Source organism: Homo sapiens, chromosome 12, assembly GCF_000001405.40.
Source record: "Homo sapiens chromosome 12, GRCh38.p14 Primary Assembly".
NCBI lineage: Eukaryota > Metazoa > Chordata > Mammalia > Primates > Hominidae > Homo > Homo sapiens.
The window spans coordinates 26,086,972-26,097,429 of record NC_000012.12 but is presented as its reverse complement, the minus strand read 5'-3'; the positions used below and the strand labels follow the sequence as shown (position 1 = coordinate 26,097,429).

General features: G+C 40.4%; 1 annotated feature.

The window, feature by feature from the left end:
- Positions 235 to 304: a silencer, noted in NCBI's record as "silent region_4299". NCBI's record gives its function as "represses an Ori minimal core promoter by ATAC-STARR-seq in GM12878 lymphoblastoid cells {active_cell/tissue: GM12878}" and the evidence as "EXISTENCE:reporter gene assay evidence [ECO:0000049][PMID:35858748]".

The following is a 10,458-nucleotide window of genomic DNA, read 5'->3' as shown; positions in this document are numbered from 1 at the left end:
CTTAAATCTTCAGAACGAGCGGCCCATTCTCTTTCAGAAACACTGCAGCAAAGCAAATTAATATAAAGATAAAAAGAAAACTTCTTTAGTAATGTGTTTTCCTTCATTTTTTCAGGATCTCTTCAAGTAAGGATTCACCTAAGGCGCAGCTTTGGAGCCCTGGAAGGTGGCTGGACGGTAGCTGCTGCCCCCTAGTGTAAGACTCGTTGTTACTGCAGACATTGGATTCTTGAAATAACCAGGGACTCTCCCTACCCCCAGGGCCAAGTGAATGGGAAGTAAATTAATGTGCTTTGTTTAAATGATAGAGGTAATTGAGAAAGTTATAGTATATTATTCTTTCAGAATGAATAGTTAGAACACTTTTTGCTGACTCCCTGCAGAAATAGTCGTTTAATGTTTTTCTGTCATTGCTTCAAGTTTAATTTTCTCATCATTTTCTGCTTTTCTCACCTACAAGGTGGCTACAAAATTTGCAGGACCCAGCACTAAATGAAAAATGTGATGCCCTTTGTTCAACAAACAGGAAAAAATGCCACTAAAGGTACTAAAATACCTTTTCTTTTCTTCCATAGTCTCTCTCCTGACTAGTTATGGGGTTTTAAAATTTGCCATTTAATGCCAAATGGAAAATTGGCATTAAATGCCATTAAATGCCAAAGAAAAATGGAAAATTTTCATGATTAGCATAAATGTTACCATTTATCTTTATGATGTGTCCTTTAAGCACAAATATAAGAGCAAATGTAACTTCCATTATGTACAAATATACCTTGTGCTTTTGTATTACCAAAATTACACAATTTGAATTTTGTAGCTCACACATGCATGTATATTTGATTCTTACCAAAATAGTGAAAATGCTGGACAAAACTACTTTGTTTTTATGTCACTTCTTGATTCGTGCATATTCAACCAACACTGTCTGCCTTTGGTGTGCTGATGAGTAAGGAAGGACTGAAACGTAAAGGGACTCTGGGTTGCCCTATCTTTTGCTTTCCTTTCTTGTCAAAATTTTCAGCCTAAGTGCTGGCTGAAGAAGAAAGGATGTGATATAATTTCTGAGAATGCCATTATTTTTATCTGTGTTAGAAGCAAGTTGTGGTTCAAAAGGAAAGAGTGGCCTCTCAGTGTTCTCTCTTGCTCAGCTATAGATATAACACGCCTCCTTTATGAACTTTGAGTCTTGCACTGTGGGCCCCCTGGAATTCTGTGCTCTGGGACACTATGAATTCTGTATGCAGGTGAGGAGGGAAAGCATAGTACGTAGGCATGTTGCATGCATCTCTTCTGCTCACACATGCTCCATTGTCCTATCAGGATTCACTTACAAAACACAAGTTCAAAAATAAAATTGTTAAGCATTTCATGATGCTGAGAGCAGAGCAGTGAACTAAGCACAGGGCCTTTCTGAGTTCTATGCCCTGTACAACCATGCAGGTTACATACCCATGAAGTTGGCCCTAACTTGAATCAATTTCACAAAAGTACAGCCAAAATTAGTTTTTGCTTGTTTGGGCTTCCATTAACTCCCAATAGGAATGTATAATTCAGGCTCTTTGGAAGAATGTGGAGGAACTTTTAGTGAACTGGTCAGCAGTTACTCTCAGGCAGGAACAGCTGAAATGGGATTCTGATGGTAGAACCATGTGCTTGTTTCCTGGCCTCATAGCACCTTGACTTGCACACTGTTTTGAGTTTAGAGCCATCATTTTGAGGTGGGGATAAAGATTATTAATGTGGTTATTATAAGATGTTTTCTATATCTAATGAGATATGTTTTAAATGACTAAAATACTGAAGGATATTTGCTATAAAGAAACCTGCATAAATATGTGACTTCTGAAGCAAAATCAAGTTCACATTTAAAACTCAGTAGTACTTAAGCATAGACAAGTACTAGGATTTCTTCAGCTCAACTTTTCAAAAAGTGTGACTGTGCTTGCTAGGAGGAGTCATTTTAAATTGAAAATTTATAATTTACGAAAGATTCGGTAAAAATGCACTTGTTCTATGAGTACCAGCCTTGGGGAATGTGCTGAGTGAGCATGGGAAGAGGAAGTCCAAAGGTAGAAGGCAAAGTTCCTGCTTTCCAGGACCCACCTGGTTTGGAAGATCAGGACAGTATCTCTGAAATAATAATAATAATAATAATAATAATAATAATAATAATAATAATACAGTAGAAAATCCAATTTAAATTTTTTACTAGGCTGATAGTAAAATTTCATTTTACTCCATTTAGACAACAATCTTTTAAACACATATCTCAGCTCCCTCCCTGTGCCTTCTCAAATGGTATACTGAACTTCGTTTGGTCTTTGCTTGATGACTGATTGACATTAGCCTATTAGAATTTTTAAATGATTTCTCTTCTCCTCCCTTCTTTGTCCTCCTTCTCTGTGGTTAATTTTATGTGCCAGTTTACTGGATTACGGGTACCCAAATATAGGCTACATGTGATTTCTGGGAATGTCTGTAGGGTGTGTCTAGGTAAGGTTAGCATTTGGATGGGCTGAGTAGAGTAGTTTGTCCTCCCTCTGTGGGCAGGCATTATCCAATCTGTTGAGGGCCTGAATAGAACAAAAAGACAGAGAAAGGGAGAATTCGTGCTATCTGCTTGACCACTTAAGCTGAGACATTGGTTTTCTCCTGTCTTCAAACTGGGACTTAAACCAACAGTACTTCTGATTCTCAGACCTCCAGAGGTACATTGGACTATATACTGCCAGCTTTTCTGGATCTCCACCTTGCAGACAGCAGATTGTGGGGAGGTCTCAGCAATTCCTTGTAATAGGTCACTTTCTGGAGATAGAGATACAAATATTTATCTCTGTCTATGTATCTATCTATGTATCTATCTGTCTATCTATCTATCTATCTATCATCTATCTATCATCTATCTATCCATCCATCGTATTGGTTCTGTTTCTCTGGAGAACCCTTACTAATAAATCTTGCAATAAATTTTATCTTTCTGGTTCTCTTCCCTGAGTGTAGAGTTGGCAGCTGTTCCTTCTCTGAATGATCAATCCATCTGTTTCTACCAGATCTCTCTTCTTCATTTCTTCATTTGCTGCCTCAGACCTGCTAATGAAATCTGCAAATGAAATATGCATCTTTGTGGTTATCATTTCTGGAGCTCTTTATTCCTTTGTGTAGATACATATTTCTAAGTGATATCATTTTCTTCCTGCCTGAAGAAATTTCTTTAACATTTCTTATAGTTCAGGTCTGTGGTGAATTCATTCAACTTTATTTCACCATGGTTTTTGAAAGATAATGATGATCTTCACAGCCAGATATGAGATTCATTTTTGAATGCATGTGCCCATTTTAATGAAGTGAGTTTTCTTTCCACTGATTTTGTGGCCTCAAACAGTTAGTAGTCAGTCTCCCACTATGGATCTAAAACAGACATGGCTGGGCATGTAAATACATTTTCCTTTGATGAAGCTTTAGTAGATTTTGCTTCATTCCTACTGGTCCTTATAAAGAAATAAAATTCTACCTCTTAACAACTATTAAAAGCACTATATAATTGGACTATAATCCCAAACCACAGATGTGTTAGAGTTAGAAAGCATCCTGGAATTGTGTGGCCCAATCCCTGCCCACCTCTGCACATGCAGCTTACATGAAGCTGAGATAATCATGTTAAGAATTAAGTTCATTTGCCACATGTACATAACAGAAGACACATTTTATGTACAAAGGTCATGTTCTTTGCCTTAGGTTATTTGTTCATATCAGTGAATATAGATTCAGTGTTTTGGGATAGAGAAGGCATAAAAAGGAGGGAGCTGCTCATTAACTTATTTTTTATTTTTACTTATTTTTATTTATTTTTTGAGACAGGGTCTCACTCTTGTCACCCAGACTGGAGTGCAGTGGTGCAATCTCTGCTCACTGCAACCTCTGCCTCCCGGGTTCCAGCAATTCTCCTGCCTCAGCCTCCCAAGTAGCTGAGATTACAGATGCACGCCGCCACGCCAGTCTAATCTTTTGTATTTTAGTACAGACGGGATTTCACCATGTTGCCCAGGCAGGTCTAGAACTCCTGAGCTCAGGCAATCCATCTGCCTCGGCCTCCCAAGGTGCTGGGATTACAGGTGTGAGACACCGTGCCTGGCTGCACATCAACTTCTACAGGAACATGTCCCCTTAGCCTTAGTTGACAAGGTCAAGGGTTTGTCTGTCTTTGTAATCATAGCAACTAGCAGAATTTCCAACACACAGTAAGTACTCAATAAATGTTTTCATTGTTAGATGATGAATAGCATTAACTATTATCCCTGTTAAGAGACTAATGCTGAATTTGAAAAAAAAAATCTACAGAGTGAAAACACTGTTTATATAAGTTATAAATAATTTGGGAAGGGGACAGTGAAAAAACTCCTTTTCTGAAATTTAAAAATAGAACCATAATAACTATGTCATTGTCTTTCATGAGCGATCTCTATGTAAAAGCATTGATCTCTGTGTAGGAGAATAAAGCAAATACAACAGAGCCATCCATGTGACCATCAAAAACCACAAAAGACATGGTAGGAAATACCCCTGACGTGTAAGACTCCTTCAAAAAAAAAAAAAAAAAAAAAAAAAGCAGTGTATCTTCTGGGCCTGTTTCAGAAAAAAAGAAAAAGAAAATACACATTAAAAAAAAAAAAAGGCAGTAAATACTAACCGGGAGGGGTGACCTAGGAGTAAGCATGAAGTGATACTATTCAGAACTGGAAGAAATTTTAGGTATCATCATGGCCAGCCTCTTTATTTTACAGATCATGCTAATTTTCTGCTACTTATTGTGTGGCCTTGAAAAATCATGTCATGAGCAGGCTAGCTGAAAACATAGAAAGAGCTGTGGGGAAAATAAACCAGGTTGTAGCCTAATTTCTGCTGCAGTAAGTAGCTACAATAAGTAGCAGAAAATTAGGCCTACAATCTGGTTTATTTTCCTCACAGCTCTTTCTATGCTTTCATCTAGCCTGCTCCAAATGTTTTCTTTTCAATACGGGGGATCAAATAAACATACAGACTTGGGATGAAGATCTAGAACAAAAGAAAAACAAGAAGGTAACTAATTATGTATACCAATAATTTTTCTTAAAGTAAATTAAAATCAGAATATTAATATTCCTATCAGAACTTCCCCCCCAAATTTGACAGTCTCCCAAGCACCAGAGTTTCTTAGTAGAGAGAGACTTTTTTTTAGTGATAGTTAGTGGCATGAAAACAAATCCTAAACTTTAAACAGATGGGAATTTTGGGGCTAATGACAGCTAATATTAACAGTGTCGCAAGATCAGGTTCTGATTTTGTAAAGATTGAAAGAGCATAACTTCAGGTAGCTCTCGATACAGTAGAGCCAAATCGGAGTCCTCCTGCAGAGGGCATAGGATGACCAGGCGCTGAGGAGAGCCCACACTGCGGTGCAGTGTGTAATCCTGGGAGAGACCCTCTTTAATCCTGCTCTGTTAGAAAACTGGAGAATGCCATAGCAGTTTGAGCAGAAGGAATGATTTTCTCCACACGGGCAAACTTTCCAGCTCTTTCTACAGTCTCTGCACTGCAAGCTGGTTTAGAGAATGTTGAGCTTTTTCTAAATAAATGGTAAATGGAGGTTGAGGAAACACTATTGGGAATGCATTTTCTCTGAGTTATGATGAACAGAACAAATCAGGAAAAGAATCATTACGAAGTACTTTGAGCCACTCAGTCTTTGAGAATTTGCTTTGATGACATTGTAAGGTGAAGAAAGGCAGCTAAGCTAATTTTTGTTTGGACAAAAAAATGTGTTTATTCTGTTTATCTTAAATGAGAGATATTATGCTTTATGGATTTTTGAAAAAAAATTAAATAAGAAGGAGCTGTGGCCATGGAAGAGAGATGGAGGTAAGCAGATGCAGCAGATGGAGTGTGCGTGTTGAGGAATGTAGCTCCAGGCAAGAGAGAGGAAATGGAGGCAAAGGACACCTGGGCTTTGGAAATGGACCTGCAGCTTCACATGGGCGGATCAAAGGCTGGCCACAGGTTACGTAGCCCAAGTATCTGGGACAGAGATGGAATTGCTGCCTTAGGAATGAGAAGTGATTCTGAATTGAGTCCACTGGAGAAATACACATACCACATATCTCCAGCATGAGTGTTCATGCGCTGGAATCCATGGTATGCATGAAAGTAGATGACAGGTGAGAAGTCATAGTTCTGAAAGCTTCAATACCTCATTCCCCAAATGGGAAAAGGCCATGGAGCCGTATGTTAAGACCTTCTGCAAATAGGCAGTCTTCTTCCAAGTAGATCCGAGTGCATACTCATGAAGCGTATACTAAGCACTGGCGAACAAACAGAGGAAGGACATGTTAGAAGGGACCAGGTCACATCAGTGTGTCCTTGTCTCTATTCCTGCTTCTCCCTCTCAGCCTCCCCTAGCACCAGTGCTGTTGCCAGGAGACCGAAGTCTAGGAGACAGAAGAGGAGGCCACCAGGAATGGAGAATGGATAGGCTGCGGAGCCAGTGAGAACAGATTCGTGTTCCTGTTGTCTCACTTGTGAGTAATTTGACTTGGGCAAAGAGTTTTTGTCTTCTTATATGCAAGATGGGACTCATACATTCGCCTTTTCATTGAATTCAAATTTTCTGAAGGCATATTATATGCCAGGGCCTGTAATAGGTTCTAGGAATTGAGCAGTGAACAAAACAAACATGGTCCCTGCCCTTGTGCTGCTTACAGATAGGTATCAAATAACCAGAAAAATCACTGTATAATTACATAACTGTGTGACAGAAAGCAAAGAATGCTATTAGCATTTAATAGGTGAACCTAATCTGGTGGGAAGGGAAGGGAGGTTGTTAGGTAAGACTTTTTTTTTTTTTTTTTTTTTTTAAGACAGAGTCTTGCTCTGTCGCCAGGCTGGAGTGCAGTGGTGCAATCTCAGCTCACTGCAACCTCCACCTCCTGGGTTCAAGTGATTCTCCTGCCTCAGCCTCCTGAGTAGCTGGGACTACAGGTGCCTGCCACCACGCCTGGCTAATTTTTGAATTTTTGTACAAAAATGATGATCTCGATCGCTTGACCTCGTGATCCACCTGCCTCGGCCTCCCACAGTGCTGGGATTACAGGAGTTAGCCACTGTGTCCGGCCCAGGTAAGACTTTTTAGCTAAAACCAGTAGGACAGGCTGACGATTGGAGACACAGAGGCCTCTCCATGCAGGATCAGTCCTTAAGAGCAACAGGCAGCCCGATGTGCAAGAGCACCCTGCCACCATGAAAGAAGCCTGAGGGGAGGAGGCCAGTCCAGCTACACAGTGGGGACACTGGATCCCCACACTAGGGAGCTGTGTTCGGAGTTATTGACCTTCTTCCATCTGTTACCTCTTCATTGTTCTCTGTTTCCCTGGCTGCCCATACTGTGGACAATGCTTAGTAAAAAACTTTGAAGAAATTGAATTGACTGACAAATTTAAGTTGCAGCCATGTTTGTTATTTCTGTTCTTCATCTGCGTGATTTTCAAACCTTTCTGTATTCATTGTCCTTAATACATATCAGAGAATTGTGGAGTGCTAGTGCTGGAAAAGACAGAAATGAACTCACCTTAGCTCTTTATTTTACAAAAGTAGGAACTAAGGCCCAGAGAGACTCAGTGCCTTGCCCAGTGTTTGATGGCTATTATGGAATAAAGATGATTTGGAACTGCTGGGCCTCCAGACTCCTTTCTACTTTCTAATTTACTATTTGCTTTCTCTTAAAGTGCCTGATAGAGTCAGGAAATGGGGAGTTTAAACAAACATGAAGTCAACCTATTGGAAACTACTTCCAATAAAAATCTATCAGAAATGAAGCAACTCTGGCAATAAAGGGTATGCCAGAAGCTAAATGAAACAGGCATATATCTCTCCACAACACTCAAACTTAAATATTATAAATATTATATTTATTTTTTTCTTAATTAAATACAATATCAGTTAATTTTTGGCACTTTCCCTATTCTTCTTATGTCCTTATCTTTGGATGGCATAAGAACCCCTGAGCTAATATAATTCAGGGACAAAGGCAAGGGGTCTGGTTCTCAGCCCCTGTTGAGGGAGAAGCATTCAAAGGTAGCTGACTAAGCCAGCAGCTCTGCTCCCCTTCCTTCACACACAAACGAATGCACATACACATGCATGCATACACACACATACTCCAGGCAAGCTCAGCATGGGAAATTCCCCAGGCTGCCATGATGCTTCAGAAGCACTGTGCAAACAGCTTTGCAACCCTCATCCACTTTCAGTCTTGAGCAATACTGTCTCCAGGTGGTGTCTTACTTCCCTATTTAACCTCACTCCTCAGGTCCAGTGCAGCTTATTCCGTTCACTGTGTTGGCTTATTATCTTTAAAACATAAGCATTATCTTCAGGGCATTCTACTCCTATCTCAAAATTATCTTCACATACGCAAAACCACTCGCATACAAAAAGCAATTTACTACCCTAAGAGGTAAGAAGAGCCGAGATACTTGACTCCCTAATAATCTTATTTCTTTTCTGGGCATGGGGGCTGGAGAGCAAAGAAAGGTAATGTTGATAGTCTCTAGAAAATCTAGAGTTGCTAAAACCAAAACAAAAGAAACTAAAAACTAAAAAAGACATTGGTTAAATTTGTCCTTATATGATCCTGTTACCGAAGTACAATTCGGTTTAGACAAACGTCCCATCCACCTGTTGTTAGATAGTGACTGCTATGGTCTGAATGTTTGTGTCACCCAAAATTCATCTGTTGAAATCCTAGCCCCGTAGGTGATGGTGTTAAGAGGGGAGGCCTTTTCGGAGGTGGTTATGTCATGGGGGGTGGCCCAAGGGAGCTTGTTTGCCCCTTTCATCGTGTGAGGCCACAGCAAGAAGGTGACGTCTAAGATGAATGGGCCGTCACCAGACACCAAATCTGCTGGCACTTTGATCTTGAATTTCCCAGCCTCCAGAACTGTGAGAAATAAATTTCAGTTGTTTATAAGCTACCCGATTAATGGCATTTTTTGTTATAGCAGTCCAAACAGATGAAGACACTAACTCTTCTCCCAGTGCTTTTAGCTTCTAATTCCTCCTGGTCTCCTTCTCTGGCCTCTTCTACCTGTGGGTGTCATAATTGTAGATATTCCATCTATGTAATTGTAGATGCTCCTGTCCTTGGCCCTCTTCTTGGATGACACCAGCACTTCTGCAACTTGAATGTGCATGTAAGTAACATGGAATCTCACTAAAATATATATTCTAGCTCAGTAAGTGGGGCCTGAGGCTCTACATTTCCAACCAACCCCCAGGCAACACCAAGGCTGCTGGTCCTATGACCATCCTGGGTAATAAATGCTTAGATTTCTGAGAAAGTTTACCTCGTCTTCATTTTTAAATATATTTGTATGTATTTGAGGACTGGGCGAGGTGGCTCGCACCTGTAATCCCAGCACTTTGGGAGGCCGAGGCAGGCGGATCACAAGGTCACGAGATCGAAACCAGCCTGACCAACATGGTGAAACCCCATCTCTACTAAAAATACAAAAATTAGCTGGGCGTAGTGGCACATGCCTGTAATGCCAGCTACTCAGGAGGCTGAAGCAGGAGAATTGCTTGAACTAAGGAAGCAGAGGTTGCAGTGAGCTGAGATCGCGCCACTGCACTCCAGCCTGGTGACGGAGCGAGACTCCATCTCAAAATAAAAATAAAAATAAAAAATTACAAGATTAGCTGGGCATGGTGGCTTATACCTGTAATCCCAGCTACTCAGGAGGCCGATGCAGGAGAATTGCTTGAACCTGGGAGGCGGAGGTTGCAGTGAGCTGAGATCATGCCATTGCACTCCAGCCTGGGCAACAAGAGTGAAACTCCGTCTCAAAATCAATCAATCAATAAATAAAATTTTAAAAATAAAGAATACATATACATATATATTTGTATGCATTTGGGATGGTGTTGGCGGGGTGCGGGGAGTTCTACATTTTCAACTATTGTCTCTGTGCAGTTAGTTTCTATATGTCTGTCTTCAGCTTTGTTTCTTTGTCAAAGTTCAGATATGCAAATTCAAACCCTTTCTGGAGATCTCAATGCAGATCCTACCAGCATCTCAACAGGACAAGTGTAAAACTTTACTCATCTTGTAAATATCTTCTTTCCTAGTAGATCCCATGTCCACTAAAGCTATCACGAAGTGGTAGAATTTCAGAGTTGGTGAGGACAGAGGAAGTCTTCCTCCATTTACAGTTGATGAGGACAGAGGGCTTCCTCCATTTACAGATAGGGAAGCAGAAAATGAGAGCAGTTACATGGCCTTTCCCAAATTACACCATGAATAGATGGCAGAGCTAGAATCAGAACTAGGCTATGCCAGATATTTCCCCACTAGAGCAGATTGAATCTTCCTGATTACCTTGCTTGAAACTCATGACTAGTCTCCCTTCATCCCCTTAGATAGTTGGACAA